The sequence below is a fragment of the Homo sapiens genome, chromosome 4, assembly GCF_000001405.40.
Source record: "Homo sapiens chromosome 4, GRCh38.p14 Primary Assembly".
Taxonomy (NCBI): domain Eukaryota; kingdom Metazoa; phylum Chordata; class Mammalia; order Primates; family Hominidae; genus Homo; species Homo sapiens.
This window is the reverse complement of record NC_000004.12, coordinates 17864814-17890213: the sequence shown is the minus strand read 5'-3', so window position 1 is coordinate 17890213 and position 25400 is coordinate 17864814. Positions and strand designations below refer to the sequence as shown.

The 25400-nt window shown below is 33.5% G+C and overlaps 1 protein-coding gene across 19 annotated transcripts in view; it reads left to right on the top strand.

Annotated features, from left to right (window-relative positions):
• Positions 1-25400, top strand: part of LCORL (ligand dependent nuclear receptor corepressor like) — a 180689-nt gene that overhangs the window by 131662 nt on the left and 23627 nt on the right. For 4 of the 19 annotated variants that reach the window (NM_001365658.1, XM_047449966.1, NM_001166139.2 and 1 more), the window contains 2 exons: positions 4053-4146; positions 5462-9619. The exons of 6 other annotated variants lie outside the window; for them this stretch is intronic. In NM_001365658.1, the coding sequence (NP_001352587.1) occupies positions 4053-4146; positions 5462-6494 (1127 nt within the window). In that variant the 3' untranslated portion in view covers positions 6495-9619. Of the gene's footprint in view, positions 1-4052; positions 4147-5461; positions 9620-12000; positions 16827-23188; positions 23216-25400 lie in introns of those variants that run through there. 9 more of the 19 variants (NR_158568.1, NR_158565.1, XM_017007965.2 and 6 more) reach the window with 4 other exon arrangements.

Below are 25400 nucleotides of genomic sequence, written 5' to 3'. Positions count from 1 at the left end.
TAATATCTATTGTTCAGCACTTCTGATAGTTTATCTTAGAGAATTATTGTACATGAACACAAGAAAAATTTAGAAGGATATTCATTTCAGCATTGTAACAGTGAAAAACTAAAACAACCTGAATACCAACAGTAAATAAATGGGGAATAAATTACAGTGTAATAAGATAGACTGCAGAGAATATACTAGTAAAATTGAATTAATTACCTCCCCCTCCACCTTACTTAGTTTGTATTATCTTGTAATAGCATGCTGGGCGCTTAATTTTATCTACATTATTCACTACAAAATGGTGGGAGAGGTTACCAAGAGTTGATTTTAAACAGATTTTTATCATATATTTAGAGTTAATTTTAGTACTTTGGAATGATGTACACACAAAATCTAGTTATATCTCCATTGTGAAAGAGTGATGTAATCACCATTCAGATAAATGTAAATTATGAGGAAAAAGAAAATATCCTTCCCCCACCCCCACCATTCCTGGGCTTTCTCTATCCTTCCCAAGCTGGCTGTCTCATTGTTTTTGTTTTTCTAATTCAGACAATCCTAGGAGTATCTTCTTTTGACTTTTCCAGCCCTTGAACTACAGGCTTTATGAAGAAAAGGGAATCATGCTATCAGCAAAATAGTATAGATGGTTAATACTGCTAACAAAAAGTGAGATTTTCCATAGATAACTAAAATTGATCTAAAATTCTTAATGGTATTGCAACTATTACATATTTATGTATTTTGTGTTTACTATGTAGACATTAATTGATAAAAGAATTTTAATGCAATGTGACAGAAATATGGAGTACATTTTTCATTTTCACTAGATACCATAATATATTACTTTATTTGTCAAATCCTTTTAGAATAAAACTTTTAACATAGCCTAGATGTGGAGAAAGGGCTATGAAGAAGAGATAAAAGCATTTCTCAATAGGGTCATTGTTTAGACTTCCTAAAGAGAAAGAATCAGAAGTATAAGCCTATTTGCATAGGTTTCTGAAAGATGGAGTAGAGCTTATATGTAGCTCATTCAGATTAAAATGCGCTATAGTTGGTGCTTCGTGTGTGAGTAGTCCAAAAAAAGAAAAGAAACCTTTATTGCCCCAAGTAGAGAGCTGCAGCCTAGTTTTTATAGTATCTGTAAAGGAGAGAAAGGGGTTCCTGTACCTCCTTCCATAATTTCTATTTTATGAAATAATTTTAAGTGGAGCATATCAAGTCTAAGAGAGCTTAGAATGGGGGAAATTTCATTACTTCATTCTGAGACTAAGAGTAACAGACTTAGGGGAATGTGTTTTATATGCCATAAACTGTACATAAAATGAGCAAAATCAAAATGAGTGAATAAAGTTATAAACTTGAATATGAGTTTGGCAGTTATCCTTTCTTATAAGTTCTTAAAGTAGTAAAATTTTAATTGCCAAAAAAGAGAAATGAGATGACAGAACAGAGGAAACATTTCTTTCTCCTTTTAGTAGGTTTTAGCACTCTACCAATGTTTAGTAATACAAATGAATAAGTCAAGATCCTGAACCCTGAGGGATTCAGTCTCATGGGAGAAAAAGATTTATAAATCAATAATTGCATGATAGTTTCATAAGTATTATAGGATGCTGTCCACGCAGGAAGACAAAATAAGCATCTTCTGCCTGGGCAGGGGATCTGAGTCTTTAAGGATAAGTAGAAGTTTGATGAGTAGAAGTTTGACAAGTTGAATAAGTAGAGCATTCTAGGCAGAGGGAACAATGTACTGCAGTTTGAGAGGCATAACACTGCATAGCACGTTTGAGGGAATTCAAGTAGTTACATAGATAAATGAGACGTGAGGTTTGAGATGAGTTGGAGACTAAGCTTAAAATTAAGCTGGATGGGTAAACTGGGGCAATAAACTGTATTTAATAATTTTTCGAGATACTCTGTGCCAGGTACTTTGCTTCTTCAGTCTCCCCCTTTTACCCTTCTAATCTGTGGACTCTAACCTCTAGCCACACTGAATTTTTCCAGTTCTTTGAAATTCTATTCAGCAAACATTTATTGAATACTTATTGTATGCCAGGCACTATTCTAAGCAGCAGGAATATATTGATGAATAAAATATGCATGGTCTCTGCCTTCACATAGCTTATAGTCTGTGGCTAGCACTGGTGGGTATATGAACAACTAGCATTACAACCCACTAAATACTGTAAGTAAGTGTTACTGGTATAGTAACCTATTATGATGATCAGCCAACTCTACATTGTGTTCTGAGTGGGGCTGATGAGTTAGATTTGGTGAGAATTAGGAGGGGTTGCCGGGGTGAGGCGGGGGTCAGGAGGAGAAGAGTATGAATCTTCTAGGCAGAGGAAACCAATTCCAAGTGTGAAAGCCCAGAAACGAGAAATAGCATAGCACTTTCCCAGCAGGTTTCCCTGCTCCACCTTTAGCTCCTTGCGGTCCATTCTCCCATAGCAGATTGATCTTTTAAAAACCTAAATTGAAATCATGTCAGTCTTCCACCCAGAATTCTCCAGTGGCTTCCTGTCTCTGTCAGAATGAAATGCGAAGTTCTTGCCATGGCCCAATGGCCCTGTTTAACCTCTTCCTATAACATTTCTGATCTCAGCTCACTCTTGGCCTGGCTTCCTTCATTTCAGATACCCTGGCCTTTGCTATTCCTCTGACATTCCAGACATGGTTCCATATCACAGCCCCTATACAGACTGTTCTTTTGGAAACGTTCTCCCATGTATCTGATTAGTTGGTGATCCTCACCTTATTCAGGGCCCTGTTCAAATCAAAGAAGCCTGCACTGATAACACTGTGTAAAACAGCAGCATTCTCAGCCCCACCCTCATTACTCTATCAGCTTACTCTGTGTTATTTTCCAGGGTGGCACTATCATAATTGCTGGTGGTAGTGGTGCTGGTTGTGGTGTTGTATGAATTATCTCATTAGATCCTAAGCACTATGACTATGACAATAGGTACTTTGTATGACTTTTTTTTTTGATGCTCTTCTAGTGCCTAAAATAGTGCTTTGCATATAGTGAGCGCTCAATAAATTATTGTCGAAGTCTATATAGGAGGCTATAGATAGGATGTTTTGTTTTATTTTTCATCTTTGTATCTGCCCAGGAACATACATATTTCATGGATTGATTATGGTTACAGTAAAACCCAGTTGAATTTTTTAAGCCCAGTTGAATTAGTATATTTTTAAACATGTATTTTTCAATAATAATTTTTCTTAGAGCTAAAACTTTCAGTTTTTTAGCTAACAATAAAAACATTCACGGAATTCTTTGCTGGGTTTTAAATTCATGGTTTATTTTTATCCTTTTTGATCCTGAAGCATGCCAGATTAACAAGTCTGAATCATTGAGTTTTTATTTATGTAAATGTTATAATTACATTTTAATAACATGCGTAGGCAGTTATTTTATAACATTATTTTTCTAAAGTTGCATTATCGTAAATTATGTCTTTAGTCGTAGATATAAGCACAATTTATTATGTAGGCAATGATTTAACTATTGTATAGTTCAATAATTTAAAAGAGTAAAATTTTACACTATGAGTTCTAGAAAATACATGTTTATACGTACAGCCACAGTTTACCTTTTGCTAGTCCTAGTAAATGCTAATTATTCAATTCTCTTACTCATCATCACATTTTCTATTCTCTCCATTTTGTACAATTTACATCACTCCCACCTTCCCAAAGCATTATCTGGGCAGCTTTGAATGGAAAACAGTCATGAATGAGCAATCAATGGCTATTCACTACAAAATGGTGGAGAGGTGACTAAAAGTTTATCTTAGACAAATTTTATATCATATATTTAGTTAGTTTCTTCCTATCACCTGGCAATGCCAGCTCCTCCTCTGTTCTTTTTTTCCTATATAGTGCCTTCCCAGTCATATCCTGTTCCTAAACCCGTTTAAGATGAATAGGTAATGGCCACATATCAAATACTAGTGTTATGAATTAGATCAACAAAATATGAAATATTAAAATGTAAGGATTGCCTATCTGTTGCAAATATAAAGTTTTTTCTCTTGCAAAAATTATAGGGGATGGAGTGTTAGATCTCTCTACAAAGAAAACCAGCATAAAATCTGAAGAGTCATCCATATGTGATCCTTCTTCTGAAAATTCAGTGGCTGGGTAAGCAATATCTAGGAAATATAATTTAATATTAATATAAAATTATCTCTGCAGAGAACTCTTAATACTATTCTGAGTAGTATTGACGTATATAGTTTTCCTCCAGAATTTTTGTCACTCATAAGTGTCTCTCTCTCATACCTTTCATTTGTCCTTTCTCTTTCTTTTTTATTCTTTCTGTTAAAGAAAAGTTATCAGAACAATCACCAAACTTTAGTTCATGTTACTAAAATGAACTACCAACTTATAGAATACAAACTAAGAAGCAGGACGAGTAAGAGAATATTAAATTAAATACTCAGGACGCAATTTTAAGGGAAATATGTAATTTATTAATTTTTTAAAACAATGAACAAATTCCAAAAGCACTGTACTTACTAATTAATGCTAGTTTATAGTGTTTAGATTTTTTTATTGCACTTTAGATGTGGTGGCAAACTACTTAAATATATCTAGTAATCACCACAAAAAGTCCTCTCATGTTTTGAAAAGTGTCATTAATCATTAAATAAATAATTAGTAGTGAAATGCTGTTCTGTTGGATTTTTGGATTTTTTTTTACAACTTTTTTGCATCTTCCCATTAACTAACTGCATAGGAAGCTTTTTTGTCACATTTAAATCTTAGAGGTAGATTGTAATTTGTTTCAACTACGGCTGTAGTAGTATTTGAGTCGTAAGGTATAGTAAGCTTTCTGTTTGAGAAACTTTGAAAATTACAATGATAATTTGAAATAGTGACATTTATAATATCTAAAATTAAATTATTCAAATATAACATCTACTTGTTTCAAGTTTTAAGCTCTTGTCTAGAGAAAAATTAGTCTTGTGGAAATATGGGATGTTTGTGTTTGGAAATATTCCTGCTGCTACAAATTTCCTTTAAAGGGGTTGACTCTTTTATTACTTGTTTAGCGGTAACGTCACGTTTGTACTAACAAAAACTCCTTTAGGATTTGGGTACTTTTTATAATGGAGCTCTAATTGTATAAATAAAATTTATAAGTGTTGCTCTGCAAGCATCTATCAGAGGAATAGCAACATCATGAGAATATTTTTACAAATACTGAGTTAGGATTTTATGTTCTTGGAAGGTCTGCCCGTTGAGGCCACCGTATCATTGTCACATTGTCCTACCAGGACTGTAGCGTTTGCTTTGATAAGGAGTAACTACTACATCTCACAGACTTAAAAGTGTCATAAGCAGTGATGTTACCTAAGCAAGGAGTATAATAAAGGAGTGGACCCTCCCCTTCCATAGCTGTGTGAGAGTCTCTCATGCATCAGTTTACCATCGTTTCATTCCATCCATCCAGGAGACTACACAGAAACAGAGAGGACTATGTGGAAAGAAGTGCTGAGTTTGCAGATGGTTTGCTCTCAAAAGCTTTGAAAGACATTCAGTCTGGAGCACTGGACATAAATAAAGCAGGCATACTTTATGGCATACCTCAAAAAACTTTACTTCTTCACTTAGAAGCCTTACCAGCAGGGAAGCCTGCATCTTTTAAAAACAAAACTCGAGATTTCCATGATAGTTATTCATATAAGGACAGTAAAGAAACTTGTGCAGTGCTGCAAAAAGTAGCCTTGTGGGCAAGAGCTCAAGCAGAGCGCACAGAAAAAAGTAAACTCAATCTACTTGAAACCTCAGAAATAAAATTCCCAACAGCTTCCACTTACCTCCATCAGCTAACTCTACAGAAAATGGTCACTCAGTTTAAAGAAAAAAATGAAAGCCTCCAATATGAAACTTCAAATCCTACTGTACAGTTAAAAATTCCTCAGCTACGAGTAAGTTCTGTCTCAAAATCACAACCTGATGGTTCTGGTCTGTTGGATGTTATGTATCAAGTTTCCAAAACCTCTTCAGTCCTAGAAGGATCAGCTCTCCAAAAACTGAAAAATATACTCCCTAAACAGAACAAAATAGAATGTTCTGGGCCTGTAACTCACTCAAGTGTTGACTCTTACTTTCTACATGGGGACCTCTCTCCTTTGTGTCTTAATTCTAAAAATGGAACAGTTGATGGAACCTCTGAAAATACTGAAGATGGATTAGATCGAAAAGACAGTAAGCAGCCCAGGAAAAAACGTGGCCGCTATCGGCAATATGATCATGAAATAATGGAAGAAGCTATTGCAATGGTAATGAGCGGAAAAATGAGTGTTTCCAAAGCACAAGGAATTTATGGGGTACCTCACAGCACTTTAGAATACAAGGTAAAAGAAAGATCTGGAACACTGAAGACTCCTCCGAAGAAGAAACTACGATTACCAGACACTGGGTTATATAATATGACAGATTCAGGGACTGGCAGCTGCAAAAACAGCAGCAAGCCTGTGTAGATTACTTGTTAGGAAAATGTTTGTGAGTGTGTGTGTGTGTGTGTGTTTGCGTGTGTGTGTATGTGCACAGGTGTGTATTTGTGTGTCTATATACACACGTGGGAATTACAAATGCTCACTCTGACAGGAGACATGAAATTTTACAGTTCAAAAACCACTTACATGCCTTTTGAAAAAAAGTTTTATTCAGGGTTTTCACTGTGGACAGAATTATATAGTTGCTTACTTAATTCTGATAGTTTGTATTTAATCCTTGTATAAATAGGTGAAAAAGATTCAGGTTTTCTTTAGTAGTCAATAGCATAAAGCGTTGTGGGAAAACGAGTAATTGTCAAGTGAAACATTTTTATTGGTGAAAGACCATTCCAGCCATTCAGTTGAACCATCTTATAATGGAAATATGATATTCATAGTTTATAAACATTCTATACAACAGACTTAACACTTGTTGTATGTATGTCAAGCAACCAATCAAAGTTTAAATAGCTATCTCCATACTAAGAAAAATTAATATATACAGTATTAGTACACGACAGTGCATTCTATGAAATACAAAATGCACTCAAGTGCATCCACCAGGAATAGAAAAGAAAACCTTAAAGGATATGTATAATGAAATTTAATATTTATCATTTAATAGTTGATTTAGCAAGAAGTTGGGGTTTATAAGGTATATACTTTAAAAAAACTGACACATAGTTAACCCCAGCAGCTATAGAACCCTTTAATATAATAAGATGGAGTACTAAGAACAAAAAATAATTTAAATTTAATTATTAAAATAATTTAGTTTTGTTTTTCATTTGAAAAATAAGCTAATGTGTAAGGTTAGAAAAGAAAGTTGGAATGCAACTTAGAGCATGTTTATAATGTGCACAGAAAAAGCTTGAGAATGATAATTTTGGTTTAAATGTGCTGGTTAGTTGATGTTATGACTACTTTAAATTTTAAGGATTGTGACACACTCCTACTATTGAAAAACCTCAGTGTAACTTTAATATATTTGCTGCTGTGACATTTCAAAACATTTTCAGTTTATCAAAATGAATTGCAGATTTCATTTTGGTGGGCGATACATTATCATTTTGCTAATAACCAAATTTGCAGTTTGTTCAGGGTCTTGAATAGATTTACAAATATTTAACACTGAAGCTGTTTTGAACTTTCAGTAATGTAAACTCTCTACTAATTGGGTAGTTAGAAGCTGGGCAGTGCATTTTAACTTTTACTAGACTCATAAGAGAGACTGGTCATTTTTACCTAGCAGTTTTAAAATATGGGTCAAAGTATCCTTGTTGGATTTATGGAGTATGCAACTGTAGTGGTAAAATGTTATAAAGCATATGCCTTCATATAAAGAATAGGGATTTGCTTTATGTATTCAAAATTCTCTGAGTGCCCCCTTTCTCTGTTAAAATTCAGGTTCTGATCATTTTTCTAAGCCAGTTTTCCTAAGTCCAAAAGGAATACTTTTAGCTGAATTTAAAAAATAAGTGCACCTTGTCAAATGCTTGTGTTTTTACACTTGTGTTTGTGTGTATTTAATAATCATATATACGTGTAATACTAAAGAGATTTTCAGCTATTAAATTTTAAAACTGCTTACATGTTTAAAGAAACTGAAGAGTGAGAAACTACACAACCAAGCAGTTATTTGGTCTCTGAGATCTATACTTAACCCTCTTCAGCTATTAATGTTACCTGCACACTAGGGTATGAATCCTCTTTTTTTTTTTTTTCACCCCAAGAAAATATACATAATAGATTACAGAACAGCAGATGTCAGGGTCATCTTTCTTTTTAAAGAATTAAGCCATATTTTGTGAGGGCCAGAACTTGCATTATTTAGTATATTTCCCCCTTCCCCCAATGGAAAGCAAAGTTAAAGGTAAAGTACATATTTCAAAACAATTTTATTGACCTCTTTATACAGAATTTTACTTGGAAAACTTTGGGGGCTTTGAATGCATTACATAATATTTATATTGTATTGAGCTTTTTTATTCCTCACACTATATTTACATTAATAAATTGATTGAGAAGTTTATAGTAAAGGGAAACTTACAGAACACTTTTGTATCATTTAAAAGATGACCTGACCAAAAACTTTACAGGATTCATAAATCAGGGATCATTTTGCTATTGACTTCACAGTAATCAGTAGTTTTATAGGTAATATTATAGTTAATTTGCAGCATTTTAGTACTTGTATTATTTATTTTTGGTCAGAAATAGTAAATTAAAATATTTTTTGATAGTTTATAGGTAATAATCAACCCATAACTTTTAAAAGAAACAAAACATTTCTATTATTGAGTTAACATTTGATTATACAAACTAGGAAAGGCAGGGAAATTCCCCTTCTCCCCAGTGATTCTATTAAGATGACCTTTATGTTAAACTTTCAAAGTACTTTATGAATTTAGTTACCAGTTACTATTTATTAATTGACAATTTTCTGAAAAATCCCGTTTCAGCAGACTTAATGAAGGTGAAAGCAACCCTTATGTGCTTTCTACTTATTTGAATGTTCCTCAAGTATTTTATATTAAAAAAAAAAAGAAGGAAAAGAGAAAACAGTGCCTCTGTTTTTAGAAAACTACTGCTCAGTAAAGTTGTTTAAACCATTTCTGGTAGCTAATGACAATTTTATATTAAATTGTATACTAACTTTAGTGAGACTGATTTTTTTAGTTGTTTACAGTACAAATACTTGTATTTGTTTTTTAATTGCAGTATTTCCAATGTCGCAGTAATTTAGTAAAACTCTGTGGCTGCCTTGATTTTGACAGATTTTGTTAATATAAACTGATTGTTAGGCAATTAGTTATATTTATGCATAAATCAATTGCACTATAATTCATGAATTATTTATTACAATATTTTCTAATGAATTCATGTATCTGTCTTGTGTTGTAAATGTACTGTAATTCTGTTCCTACTTTGTGTTGTTATATATCTAAATCTGATTGTATGAATTTTAATTGTTCAGTTAACGTGTTTCTAGGTTGTAATTTGTAGTAAAGCACTTCAATGCTTTTGCACTTAAATTTACAACACTGTTGGTGTGTGATTGATTTACTCATTCAGTAAAAGAAAAAAAGAAAAGAAAAGAAAAAAACTGACTACACTGACTTGTTTGATTTACTTTAGGAAGCAGTTTTATTAAATATAGTATTCTAATTTACTTTTTCTGAAGAAATATTCCAACAAGTTTCTAGTGGGCAAAATGGATAGTAACATACTAAAAATAGGCAGTATGTTTGGTTTATAAATCAAACAGGAAAAGGTTAGAAAACTTTAAAAGCAAAGGATCTACAAAAAAAATACAATTTTAGAACCTTATATAATCACCTGAGAATAAATTCTAGACTGGATATTTATATGTGTGTTCAACTATTATTTACTCATTACTAGGTTTTTCTTTAAGATCCTAACATGCAAGAAATATGGGGGAGAATGTTTGAAGCCAAATAAGCATATTGTGAAGTTCTGTAATTTGAGATCTTAGTTTCTGATATCTGATACATAAGATAGAATCTAATATCTGAATATCTAATTTATACCTTTTTTAAGCTGTTCTTATAGCATTAGATGGGAATTACTGGCTACCATAGTATTTTTGAAATTCCATTATTAATAAATTGAATAAGAAAACTCTAAAAGCTTTGCTTAGAATGTCAGAAAAGGGATATAAAAAGCAGTGGTTTTTGTAATTTTGTGAGCTTAATCAAGTTGGTATTATAACATTGTTTCAGAATACTTAACACTAGTCATTAGTTTTGATTACTTGTACCACATACCTGGCTTTATTAACAGAAAAAAGCCTTTGAGCATTTCAGGAAGAGTTATAAACAATTATTAATCGTTAAAATACAACATATTTTTCCAAGAAACATGTAAATTCTCTCTTTATTATGCCATAACATCACTTTAGAAACTACTGAAGTGCATCTCTCACAACATTCTGGGTTTTCTTTTGCTTGTGTGAAAATTAGTCATTTTTAATTTGCTGGAAAAAAATATATTGTAATCTTTGGTAGTTAACCATTTCTTCCTGCCCTTGCTCTCTACATATATTTTTTAAAACTATGTAATTGAATCCTGGGAGTCAGTTGCATCATTTTACACTCCCAACCATGACAAAGTTTATAAAAAATTATTTTCAAAAAGGAAAGGATACTGGGGTCATGTCCTATCTTCATCTGTCTAGAGGCGGCAGTGACTTTAAAAGTTTTATTTTAATTTCACATCTCTTCTCACTTTGTTTGATAGCTTCTTTATGTCAGATCACTAGTTTTAGTGGAACATTGGATGAATCTAGTAAAGTTATCTTTTTTTCCAGAAAAGTTTTGATCACATGTTTAAAATTTGCTTCCTTATTTTTGCTACTCAAATAACATAATTTTTATAAAATATAAGTGAAATATTACCTCTGAAACAGGCTATGTCAGTTTTAGGCAGCAAAATAAAAATATTCCACTTCCTGTTTTAAAGTAAAAATCTTATAATTTTTAATATAGATGAGCATAATTCTGCATTTAAACAAATACATTCTTCAATAGTAGTTCATAATCAGCATTATTCCAACCTTAAAATTTCTAGAAATCAGGAACTATTAAAAACAACAAATGTAATAAACTGTAAGTGAAAGGCAATTTTCATGTACAGAGTTTGGTGATATGTTTAATTAAAATACTTTTCTGAAACAGAACTCTTTAAATATATTTTATTCTTCCTGCTGCTGGTATTGGATTAAAAAAAAATGTGTAGACTTCTATATTGGTCGATAAGCAAGCCCGGTTCTTAGTTAAAGTTAGATGTATATTAGTTTCTGTAGTGGGCCATTTTCCAGCATTTGAAACTTAATAATTAGGTAAGTAATGCCTTTAGCTTTTATGAAATTACTTTAGTATTTAACATCAATTAAAAATAGATTTTATTTTTAAATAGCTAACGCCTGCAGCTTAATCTTAGGAAAGACATTCTCTTATTTACATAAAATCTAAATCCCTTAATTTTCCTTGTGATTATGGAAAGCTTTTATTATTTTCACTGCCTTGGAAAAAATATCTATTTTAAATAAAGATTGTACTCCTACATTTTATTTTCCTTATTTGCACTAATGTAGACTGATAATTATGTATCAGAATAATTTATAAAATGGCTACTTCATAAAAATTTAACTCCTTCTGAAGCACTTTCCATTAAATATTCTTAATACATTAAAAACAGACAATATATAAATGTAATCATATGTATAATCATCAGCTTTTATATTGCAAAAATAGGGCTTTGCTTTGACTTATACTTTGTCATAGGAAATTAATTATCAGTGCTTCATTATATTTTTGCTAAACAATAATCAAAATGCCATTATTGCAGCTCTCTAGGAGTCAGGAGTCCAGCAATACCAAAATATCTTTTTTCAAACACTGTTAAAATTATAACTCCTTATAGTGGTATTTTTGCTGCAATTCATTTTTTGTTTGATTTTTATTTTTAGTTCAACTGTTGATGCAAAATCAGAGGAAGCTACTAAAATGGAAAAAAGAAAATCAGCATTAAACAAAGTTTTGGAATCTTTGTGCATACATCACCAGCAACAAGTTTTGGCTATGTTGAAATTTCTAGTCCAAGAGCAGAATGCTGCTTCTCTTTGCTGTTGTAATACATCATGTGTTGTGTCTTCAGAATCTCAAAAGCCCTTAATCGAAGATGATTTATGTGGTCTGTTCTGTAGTTGTGAATATAGGCTGGCAGAAAGAGGTTGTTTACAAAACGAAAAACAAAGCCCTGGTTTAGAACCTCTGCCAGTCTGTATTAAAGATTTACATTGTTTATCTTGCCAAACTGTAACTGTTGAACACGTTAAGCCAGTAGTGAATAGAGGAATTGCAGACAGTTATAATTCTCACAGGTGCTGTTCTGGACTGTTACCAAACATTCACTCTACAAAATCAGCCTTTCGTAGTCCTCTTTTGTCAAAGGAAGTATGTGATCTTTCAGTCACTCTTAAAGATGCCTGTAGATCTCGAAGTCCCTCACCCCCACCATTATCACCTATAGAAACTGAAGGATTTGAAAAATTGAAAGACGTCATCTCAGAGATTTCAGCCTTAGAAAATAACAAACTTGAAGCAAACATTAACCAGCCTCCATCTCTCACACCAGCAGAAATCAGCAGCAATAAGAGTGATCATCAAGATAAAATACTTAAAACTAAAAAATCCAGTAACTCTTATTCTTTACTCTCAAATGACAGCAATAATTCTACTACAAATCATGAAAAAGGTGAAACTGCTGTAATTTTTCAAGATTTAATGGATCGCATTAATGAAAAACTAAAATCAATAGAAACCACGGATATGACAAGCCTTGTAAAATTATCTAGCAGTGATTATAATACATATAATGATTTAAAATTGGGAGATTTCATAACATCTCTCTTGCATAATGCAAAAGCCAGTGATTATAGTTTTATGGAATTATTGAGTCAACATGATAAAAAGGTAGAAAATAAAATTATTCAGACAAGATTTCGAAAGCGTCAAGAAACTTTATTTGCAATGCGCAACTCCTCTGATTCACCCATGTTTAGAAGGCAGTCTTTACAGATAAAAAGAGAACTTGCTAGTCTTGATGAAAATTTTACAAGAAAAAAATACACCGAAAAAAGTTCAAGGAAATTGACACAAAACAATGAGATATCTTCATCAGACAAAGGAGAATTCTATCATGACCAAGGGCCTTCTTTACAAAATTCTAAAAGACTTCAAGGTAAAAATCATGCTGAAACATCATTTTCACCAAATTATGCATTACAGTCACTGCAACTACCTCTTCATAGTTCAGAAACTAACTTGTCTTTTAATGAATTTTCAGAAAGCTTTAAAACAACTTCCCCTGAGAAAATGAGCATAAGAAAGCCACAGGAGAAATCTGCAGATGGAAAACAATTTTTGCAAAATGATAGGAAAAATCCAAAGTTAGGTAATACTCAAACTCTTTTGAGAAATGATGTTTCTGGACTTTTGAGCAGAACTAAACGAAATATTGTGCCTCCAGGGTGGTATTCTGTATATGTAACAAATAATTATGTTTTTAAAAAATCCCCTAAAGCCAAAAAAGTATCCGAATCCACAACAAAAAACGATCCAGTGAAAAATATTCACATTGAAAGCTCACACAATATAGACCTAAACAAAATTGCAATGAATTCTAATTTACAAGTGGTTGTGAAGCGTTTGGAAGATACAATAAGTATAGCCAAAAAATCCTGGAATAATCAGCCATTATCAGAAGGATATAAAGCATCCAAGAAATTGATAGAAATTGATGGTAAAGACCAACATGCTGACAGAAATATGACTCTTACTCTAAATAGAATGACATGCAAAGAACAGAGCTTATCAAAATCTGTGGTAGCATCCGGCAATATTATCAATAGTCACTGCATGCCTACAGTGGATTTGAATAACAAAAGACTTGAAAATCTGAAAAAGTCATCTATTTTAGATATGGGTCGCTTGATTTCCAGTGTTGAAAATGTACCAGCAAAATATGAAGGTACTGAAAGTTCATCTGTTTCCAACTATTCTAGTCCTATCAAACTCATGTTTTTATCTGAGGTTAAAAGTAGTGAAGGGGTCAAATATACTTTAACTTCAGTTGGCACTTCCCATTCAAATGTTGTTCTCCCTTCTGAAAAACCTACAACCCATCACGTAACTGAAGAAAAAACAGAAACAAATGAGGATATCTCAAATGCGAACTCTGAAAATTATCACTCCAGTCATTATGATACTGATACTTTTCAAAGAGAACTAAACAAATTCAGTCATGCAAAAGAAACTGCAGGATCCTCTACAATGTTTATAGGTGATATAAATAGTGATAAGCCACAAGAAGAACCTAAGGACAATTCAAGCAGTGCTACTGATCCATCTTTTAAAAGAAAACCAGGTAGACCAAAAAAAATAGGTCCCCAAGTTGTGAAACAGATTAAGCGACCAATTGGAAGACCACCAAAGCCTAAAATTGATCAAACAAACATCACTGTTTGCCAGAATGAGCCCTTTAGTGCTGGAAGGAAAAGCCCAGAATGTCTCATATCAGAAGTAAAAGAAGGTATTTATAAAAAGAGTATTACAGTAACTGTTATTTACGGAAGGTCAAGAAGAACTAAAAGGCATGTTTCTGAAGGAAGGGTAAACATAAGCAACCTTATGTCTTTAAACAATAATGCTGGTGATTTTCCAACTGAATATAATAGTCCCAGAAATATTAGTGAAGACAAAATTGACTTGGGTGAAAGAATAAGTGCTGTAGCAAGCTTGACTACTGAAAGTGAGATCTTGGGGTCTGGCTTTGAATATGTGAGACCCATCAAGAACAAATCTGTGATACCTCAGCCTTCCAAGAACATTATTCGACCAAATCAGAAGCCTTTGGCAATAAGTAGGAAGCCTGGTAGACCGGCAAAAGTGAAAATCTCTGGCATATCTGTGACTATTAATAGAACTTCACCTCAGGAAAGAGAAGTAAGTATTAGCAGCTGCTTGCCTCCTTTAGAACAGGATAATACGTCAGGAAAAAATCTGCCTGAAGAAAAGTATGACCAACAGTGCACTCAAATGGATAAAATAAGGCACACTGAAGCTGATATATTTAAAAATGGATCAAAACGTATGATTGCTACTGTACCTTTGAGACATTCTATTAGGGATAGAAAACCATCTCTGCATTTCTTACATTCATTAGCATCTTCTAGCTCACTTATTTATAGAAACGCTCTGCTCCATAAATCATATAAACTGCATTTGCAGAAAAATAAAAGTCAGAAGGAAAAACATAGGCACTCAAAGATGAAAATAGCTTACAAAGATACCCCAAGAAACAGACTTTCGCGGAATGCAAAAAAGTGTTTGGAAGATAATAAATTAGTACCTATTTCTGAAGTATCCTTGGATCCTATAATTTCATCAAACCCTTTGCTCAGGTGGTGGGCTACTTCTGCTTCAAATGATTCCTTATTAGAGGAATTAAACAATAGATTTGAGCAAATAACAAATGCTTGGGTGCAAGTAAGTGGAGATGAAGCTGAAAATTGTATTCATAAAAAAAGAGAACACATTGAAAATGATCATTTCAAAGTAGCAAGCCCTTTGGAAACTTGTCTTTTAGAACTTGAAGTTTCACCTGTAAAAATGCTTTTTCAGAAAAAGTATGATTTGAATGAACTCTGTACTTGGTTTATGCAAACAACAGAAACACAGTCTCTTTCACTAGTTAGAAAAGCAAATGCCCGAAACCCTTTGGAAGTAATAAATACCAGGGGAATCAAATTAGGGACCAAATATTCTGACTTTAATGCCAGCCCCTTCAGAAAGCACTTTAAAAAATTTGCACTCTCTTCTCCTTCAAAATCAGCAGAGAAATTGCATATACTGCATAAAGTGGCTAACTCTCCACTCTTAAATGTGAAAAGTAATTTAGCAATAGCTAGATTAAAAAGGACTGAGTTTAAGAGGTTGCATCATGAAAGGTGGAAAAGAGAGGGAAAGCTGCACAACCATGGAACAGTTGACTGGAACTCTAAAAGGAGAAACTTAAGATTTTTCTGCCAGAACCAATTTTTAAATAAGACTGAGGGAGAAACAAATGCTGACATCCCACTCCAAGGAAAAAGCATAGTAGATAATCAGTGTGTTTTGCCACCTGAGATCAGGGGTGACTTGCAGCAGAGGGTAGTAATGCCTGACTTCAAAATACATGCTAGTTTTGAGAATAAATTTAAGTCAGAAGCAAAAGAGAATGGAACAAATTGCAGCCAAAAAGACTTTCAAAAGGGACCAAGACTAGAAAATGTATGTCCTAATAGTTGGAGGTCAAAAACCTTAAAAGACTGTAGAATATTTTTGAGGAAGCTCAACTGTCTTGAACACAGAAATACTTTTAAGCTAAATACAATCATTTACTCTCCTGAATCTACTGACAGTGGAAATACTCATCAGACTCATATGGAAGAATCAAAGCGCTTTACTTTAAGATCTCATTCTGCTAGGCAAAATTCTTTTAAAAAGCAATCTAAAGAAATAGAAAATGCTAACACAAATAATCCTTCAGCTGATGAATTTGCTGACCATCTTGGCAATAGTAAATTAAGCAAATGTGTTAACTTTGACAAGAATCCTGATAGTTTTGAAGTTCTTAGCAATTTGAACAAAAGAAAAAGACCACCATGGAAGATCACAGAAATGTCAACAAAAAGACATAAACGACAGTCTTGCAACAGTGGACAAATGGCAAACTATTTTTCCAAATCCCTAGGTAAGTTCTTCTCTACTTAATTTTAAAGTTTCATTGTAGGTGCCTTGAGTAAAGTATAACAGGTAGAAAAGGAACAGCTGATGCAGTTTTAATTAGTTTCCAAAATATTTGGACAACCTAATTTCTTGGCACCTAGTATGAAACTCGTGAAATTAGGTGCTGCTAAATGTACCAGTGCGCTTCCCCACCTCTTAATATGTCCAGGATTTCACACAAATAAAAATATATATAGTAGAGACATAGAAATCATCTTTAAAATATATTATTTTAATAATGTAGATGTTATCTCCTTTTGCATTTGGTAGATCTAATAAAAGCAGTAAGCAGTTTGACAGATAAATATAACCAAGTAACTAACTAAAAATTAAGTACCACACTATAAACTAGTAAATATTTACTCAATTGAGAAATCAACCACAACTATGAGACCATGTTTTTAAAAAAGTAAAGACTATCTGTTAAATTGATAGATTGTAACATATCCTAGGATAATCCTAATCTCACATCACCCACCAAGTTGTTATGTCATTTGGAGCTCACTTTAAGACTGATGATTTGAAGAGTGGTAGAGCAACAATATTTTTTAAAATAAATCAGCAAACTTGTTGAGTAGTTTTTTGATATCAGACATTGAGCTCATTTCCACAGATATAAAGATGAGGATTCTTTTTCACAGGTAATCCATAACTAGCAAAAGAGAATCATATACAAGTTATTGTTAAGGTAATGCCAAATTCAAAATGCAAACCAGAATTACCTTAGCAAACAATTACATCCTTTACTCAGTTATACTGACCAGATGTTGGTGCCTCAGGGAGACTCAGGGACCCTACAAGCTTGTCCAACCCACAGCCCGTGGACCACATGCAGCCCAGGACTGCTTTGAGTGTGACCCAACACAAATTTGTAAACTTTCTTAAAGCGCTATGAGATTTGTTTGTGTTTTTTTGTTGTTGTTTTTGTTTTTGTCTCTGTAGCTCACCAGCTATTGTTAGTGTTAGTGTATTTTATGTGTGGCCCAAGACAATTCTTCCAGTGTGGCCGAGGGAAGCCAAAATATTAGACACCCCTGCTAAAACCTAGTAAAAATAATATAGGAACACTATAGTTGCCAGTGTAGCCATTTCCAGCTCTTCTTATTGATAAGTACTGGACAATGAGGGATATTGAGGAGTATGGAAGTACTTATTGATTACTTGCTTAACATGAAAGAAATTTTACATTTGGAAATTTAAAGATATTATATAGTTGCATCATTATATATTTTAGGGGTGTTTTTGGGGGGGTTGGGGAAGTATTGGCTTTATTTTTACTACTCTTTTTAAAACTTGTTTAAAAGCTAAAATAGGTAGTATCAGGTCTTATATTAAAATAGTAAAAGCAGTAAATTCTTGATTTTTAATAAGTTAATGATTTTATGACCCCCAAGATTCAGTTATTCAACTATATAACTTTAAAACCTATTTCAGAAAGTAGTGATTAAAATTTCAAATATCTAACATGCAATGATTAAAATTTTAAAGGTTGGCCAAAGTAGATTCTCCATTATAAACGATGAATCAAAACTTTAAAAAGTGCCCTGTTTCTTGTTCTTAGGATAACTAAAAATATCAAATGCCATGTCAGGAAAAAGAGAGGCAAAAAAACCTGATAGTGGTTTTTTTTTTATTATAATTCATCTGAAAATATACACACATAATTCTTAAAGACTGTCATGAATGGAGAATAAAATGTAAAGCTTCATTTTTAATTCTTTATATCATCCTCATATCATGCTGTTACAGTTAACCAGAAGTAAATGCATTAATTCATTTTACAACAGAACCGTATTTTGTCCTTTTAGCTTCTTAATCATTGTATCTTCCTAAGAAATAAATATCAAGCTTATTTTAATGTGATTATTTACCCCCACTAAATATGAAATCATCCTAGAAAAAATAAGATGGAAGATGCCTAGTGACTACTTTTTCAAATTAATTTCAAAATCCTTTTGGGCAGTTTTAAAATTTTTAGTATCATTTGAAGAGCTGTTTTTGATCTTTCTCATTTTTAAAATTACTAATACTATTTCCTGTTCTGCTTAAAGTTTTATCTATCTTTCACTGATAACTTTCCTTCTTTATTTTTTAACATTCTTTTTTTTTAGTCAATCAACAAGGACATTATTTTTATAAAGTTGTATTTATAGAAATATTTGTTAATATTTATCTGATTTTTAAAGTATTATTTTTTTCTCATTCTTGGTATCTCATACTTCTTTTTGCCTTTTTGGAAATGATGCTAAAACTCATTATTAGTTTTATATGTGTTTTTCTTCTTTGTAGAATAAATTACTGACTGGAGACTTAAGAGACTTAACAACCAGACTTTTCTAGAAAAATTTCTAAGGCAGTGTATATGAGATTTTGAAATATTACTGTTGATGAAAAGTTTTGCTTCTATCACAAATATCTTGTTTGGTACATTTTGAGATGAACTGTCCAGATATAATTTATGAGTTTTTAAATTTATACTTCACCACATTTGTACTGCTGTATATATCAAGTGTGCACATGGAAAGGAGGCAGAAAAATGCAATCCCATTCTATTCTTACTTCAACAAGTATTTAATGAATGTCTACAATATGCTCTTAAGCACTGTGGAAGGTTCAAATAGTTCCTTTCCATCTAAGGGAGAAAACAAGAGCTACATCATTTATTCAGTAAATAGAATGTATTTCATTTTTTAAGTGGGATATTATATGCCTTAAGGGGATAGAATGGTTAAAGTCATGGTTGTTGCTCTTATGGTTGTTGCTCTTATATGTTCCTCCATGTCATGAAGGATAGAAAAATGGATAGCCAATTCCAGTAGAAGGATGATGACTGCTATGATCAGAGAGAGAGCGATGGATTGTAAGAGCACATTAAAGAGGAATTGAACTCAGATTTAGGGAATTAGGCAAGGTTTCCTACATTGTTGCATCTAAGCTGAGGCTTGAAGGAGGCTGATGTAGTAGAAGTTGGAAGAGGAGTGTTTTCAGGCAGTTGCAAACGATGTGGAAAATTTGGATGACAAAAGAGAGCAAGCAGCCTGGGCAACATAGCGGGACCCCATCTCTGCAAAACAAACAAACAAAATTAGCCAAGTGTGGTAGCCCACACCTTGCTTGAACCTGGGAGGTCGAGGCTTCAGTGAGCCATGATTGTGCCACTGTGCTCCAACCTAGGTATCTCAAAAATTTTTTTTAAAAAAGAGCAAGCATATGTGGAATATTGAGTAATTTATCAGAACTGAGGCATAAAATAGGAATCATGGATCAGGAGGGAGTGGGAAAATGGTAAAACAATGAAGCTACTGAGGGAAGCATAGCCCATATTGTGAGGTCAGCATCAAATAATGAAACAAAAAATGTTTTAAGCCCTAATAGTAGCAGTAATTGAAAAGAATAGATTTGAGATCTATAAAGTAAAATCAATGTCTTAAAGATTAGAAGAAAAAAGGGAGAACATCCAGGTTTTTGCCTTGAACATCTGGGTAGAGGATAGTAAGATCTACTAAGATAGAATGCTCTTTAGATGTGAGAAATTTGAGGTGTTCAGTGGGATATCCAAGAAAGGATGTTAGGAAGCAGTTATGGATATGCTTCCTAAACATACGGATCTGTTTCCCAAGAAAAAGGCCTGAGCTGAAATAAGGATTTGTGAATCAACAAATAACTGAAACCATGAGAGTGGAAGAGATTACAATGAGATTACTCATTGTAAGATTGAAAGAGCCTAGGGAGTCGGAGCCTCAAAGATTTAGGAAAAAGGAAGGATGTATACAAAAGGAGACAGATGACAGTAGTTGAGAGGTAAGAGGAAAGCCTGGAGAATGTGGTGAATGGAAATGTGTTGTAAGAAGGGAGAAGGCAATGTAAACTGTTGATAAGAAGTCAACTAAGATGAGCCCTGAAACGGTTCCATTGAATATAGCAACAAGAGTTTATCTTAGTTGTTGGGAAAGAGTAGCTTTGGTGGACTAACAGAGCCACAAGTCATATTCAAGGCTAGATGAGTTAAATGAAGGAAGAGAAAGAAAATTAGCACAGAAAACTATAATTGACCATGAATGGAGAGAATATACAAAGGTTAGCTAGATTAAGCTGGGGTTGAAGACAGGTTTAAAAGATATATATTTACATGCTAATGGAAAAAAGCCAATAGGGAATAAACAATTGAAGATAAAGAAATGAGATGGCAACCAATGGAAATGGAGTGAAGCCCCTGTGTAGATTATTGGGTATAGGATCTAGGACATGGTTAGAGAGATTGGTCTTAGCCAAAAGGGTCACTTTTCTCTAAAAAAAAAAAAAAAAAAAGGTAGTGGGAACAATATGTGGGAAGGCAAATCGGTAATTTGTGGGCAGAATCCTGAGATATTAGAGTCCATTTTCTGTGAATCAAGAGGTAATCAAGAGTAGTATGTGGGATTGGGTAATTGGGGAATATGGACAAGGTTTGAAATAGCTGTCTCAAGAAATATAGGATAGAACAACTGGTTTTATCTCAGCTGCCAGAATGTAAGCCTGGAGAAAGGTGGGCCCTTAGATTTAGTAATAGTCAAGTTCACCACGTGGGGATGACAGGACAAAGAGATCGAGCCAAGAATATATCTGTTCTGTGAATAGTGAGAAGCTATATGATCAAAGCAGAGTTCTAGAGAATCTTTTCTAATAGTAGCACAAATATAGATCCAGGGGGTGGAGGATGGGAAATGTGATGTGTGAAAGGTCAGTTGCAGGAGATGATTTTTGAGATGGTAATGGCCTAAAAATGGAGTGCGACTGTTGGAAATAATATAGACCTTTTTAATGTCAGTATCTTTTGAGTTCCCAAAGCAGGTGTATATCTTTTCCTAATTGATAAACATCTCGATATAAATAAGCTGACTCTGGACACCTCTGAGTAAACTTTTAAGAATCAAATAACCTAATGTGGTCTTGAAGCTCCTGTAATAATAGTAGCCATCCTAAAACATTAAATTTTCCCATAAAAATTTTGAATTCAGTTGACACTTTGAATCGAATTCTGAGATGACTGAAAAAAAAAAGTTTGTCAGCTTCTTCTATTTTGCCATCTGTCGTCAAAAATAACTGAATTTACATTTTTCCCATTCAGAATTCTGGTTTTCACACAGGTTTGTAACTGATGGCTGATTTTTAACTAAGTAATATACTCCTTCAACTACCAGAAACCAAGACTAACCATACATACTCCTCTGATCTTGCTTATGAGCATTTTAACACATATTTTGAACACTGAACACAAGATAAAAGGAAATGATTACTTTAAGTACAACTGTTAAGATTTGATTCTGTTAAAGTATTCTAATGAAATTAGGAATTTTTTTACACCCAACCCCCCTGAGGAATTTTTAATAAAGATACATTCTGTTTATATTTGAGTTTTTCCCCTGTAATTTTCTTAGGAATTAAGAGAAGAGTTTAGGTTTTAAAGAGTCTCTAACTTTTGCCATAATATTTTGTGAAAATGTAAAACAGGTAAACAATCTTTGTCTTGATGTTTTTTCTTAGAATTTTTCTTGAATATTTTATATTCCATTGCTTTCTCAACTATTACTGAGTTTTCAGGATATTCTGTTTTACTAATTGCCCCATATCTTTCTCAGAAAATCATTCAGTTTATTTAACAAACATTGGATACTTTTTCTTTTGATGTATCAGGTGTTGTGTTAGATGTTCAAGTCACAAAGGAACTCAAGGAATTTATCTAGAAGATATTTCAAGTTTTTACTTTGGCAACATAATTAGTAAAAGAAACATAATTTGGCTGATTCCACATACTGGTGGTTGTAGAGAACAGAACTATTTTCAGACATAGATTTAATTCTCTAAATTGGGAAGTCTGGCCCATGGCCTATTTTGTAAATAAAGTTTTATTGGAACACTGCCATGTTCATTCACTCGTATATTGCCTATTGCTATTTTTGTGCTGCAGAAGCTGAATAGTTGCAACAAGACACCATAAAGCCTACAGAGTCTAAAATATTTACTACCTGGCACTTTGCAGAAAAGTTTGCCGACTCTGTTCGTATCACTACAATTTTGATATGGTGTGGCTTGAAAAAAATAAAAAATAAGTTGTTGGCTTTTAAAAAATATATTAAGGTCATCCTATCTTGTTCGTCCCCAACACCCCATCCACTTCTTCCTCAACACTCGCTCCCTCAACACAATACAATGTATTTGACATGTTAGCTGTTCTGTTTTGTTTGATCTTTACGGGTCAATATCTGTCTTTATCCAGCAGAGTGGTGCTGGGGGAGCCATGAACACCAGTTGTATTCTGTTTTGTAAATCTTTATTCTCTCCCTGCAGCCTCCAGACCTGCTTTCTCTATCTGAGGTAAGTTCAAGGGTCACCCTTTTCTTCTTTAACCAGCTGCTACCACCTGCTAGAAGGAGATTGGTTTCAATGCCTCACACCATGATAAATTCCTGCCTCAAGGTCTAAATGTTCTCTTTCTCCTTTTTTCTTCCTTCTTTATTTCTTAAGAATTCAAAATTCTTAGTTCAGCTCTCCTAACTACCATTTTTTCTTCTCGTTTTTCCTGGGCAGTAACAGTTTTCTTGTCATGGAGCTGAGCATTCTGTGATTATCGTAACGTTAAGCCTAGTGAATTCACCTATAGTTTAATTACAAACAAAAAAGGCAAGGGTAGGTGTCTGAATGATTTCATCTTGCCACTTTTTTTTTTCTTGTTTGTGTTTGTTTTATTTAAACCAGACCTTGGCTTCTTTTTCCTTCTCCCAGTTCCAGGCAACCTGGAAAATGCATTTATTTGCTACTTTTTTTCTGTGTTATGCAAACATAGAAAGCTAGATTTTAAAAGCCTGTACCTATAAACTCTTTTTATTTATTCAAAAGTGTTTGTCTTCTGCGTGCTAGGCAGTATGTTAGACACATGCAAAATAGTGGGGGCAAAACCAGATATGGTTCCTACCCTCACGGTTCAAGTTTATTTGGAGAGGCAGACATTGAGTAAATACACAAATCTGTTACATTCTCAGTATGTGGTGCTATAGGAATTTAATTTTGGGAGGTTTTACCAAGTGAAGGAAGAGTTCCCTGAGCAAATGGCCATTAAGCTAAGCTGTGAAGGGTGAGGAGGAATTAACTAGGCCAAGTGGTGGAGAACCAGTAGGGTAGGAAGAAGGATTTGGATGTGGAAAAAATGCTGAGGTGTGGGATTCTTGGCAGGTTAGAGGTGTAAGTCATGGCCAGTGTGTCTAGTCAAGAAAGAAGGAGATGATGTCAGATGTAGGGAGGATTGAGAAGGAAGCAAAGGAACAGACTATACAAGTTCTTATGAGCCATGCCAAGAAGTTTGTCTACTTTCAGTGGCTCCCCATTGCACTTAGGGCGGAGATTTAAATTGGAAGTGGACAGGGAAGATATGACATAATCAGATTTTGCTTTCTAGAAGATCTCCCTGGTTGCATTGTGAAGAAGGAAGGGTGTAGGGCAAGACACCTAACCACACTTAGACCATTGTGATTCACAAACTTTAGTGTGCATCAGAATCACCAGCAAGTCTTGTTAAAATGATTGTGCGGATCCACCTACAGAGTTTGATTGAGTATGGGGTGGGGCCCAAGTGATACTTATGCTTATGCTTCTGGACCTGGAAGTACACTTTGAGAACCACTGGTAATAGAGTGTAAGTGTTATAGTGGTAGAAGGAAGATTATTTACTAATATGAACATAATGTTATAAGTTTCCCTTTAAACACTTCTTCAGCTATATCACAAATTTTGCTCTGCTGTGTTTTCATTTTAATTAAATTCAAAATATTTTCTAATTTCTCTTGTGATTTTTTCTTTAGCCCATGGATTATTTAGAGACATGTTGGCTGGGCGCAGTACTCACGCCTGTAATTCCAACACTTTGGGAGGCTGAGGCAGGAAGATTACTTGAGCCCAGGAATTCAAGACCAGCCTGGGCAACATGGCAAGACCCTGCCTAGAGATGTGTTGTTTAGTTTCCAAATATTTAGGGATTTTTCAGATATATTTCTGGTACTGATTTCTAATTTAATTCTAATATACTGTTTGTGATTTCAGTCTTTTTGAATTTTTTGTGATGTTTTATATGGCCGAGAATCTATGCAAATCTAAGTAAATGTTCTGTGTGTTCTTGAAAATAATGTATATTCTACTGCCGTTGAGTGAAGTGTTCTATAAATGTCAGTTAAGCAAGATGGTTGCTAGTGCTGTTCAAGATTTTTCCATCTTGGTGAATTTCAGTCTACTTGTTCTATTTTTGAAAGGGGGATATCAAAATCCGTGACTATGATTGTGTATTTTCCTTTTTATCCTTTCAGATCTGTTAGGTTTTGCTTCACGTATTTTGAAGCTTTGTAAATAGTTGCATATGCATTTAGAATTGTTAGGTACTTTTTATTAATTGGCTTTTTTATCGTTATGAAATTAACCTCCTCTTTAATCCTGGAAATGTTCCTTACTCTGAAATCTAATTTATCTGATAACTACTAGAGTTGTTCCAGCTTGCTTTTCACTACTGTTATCA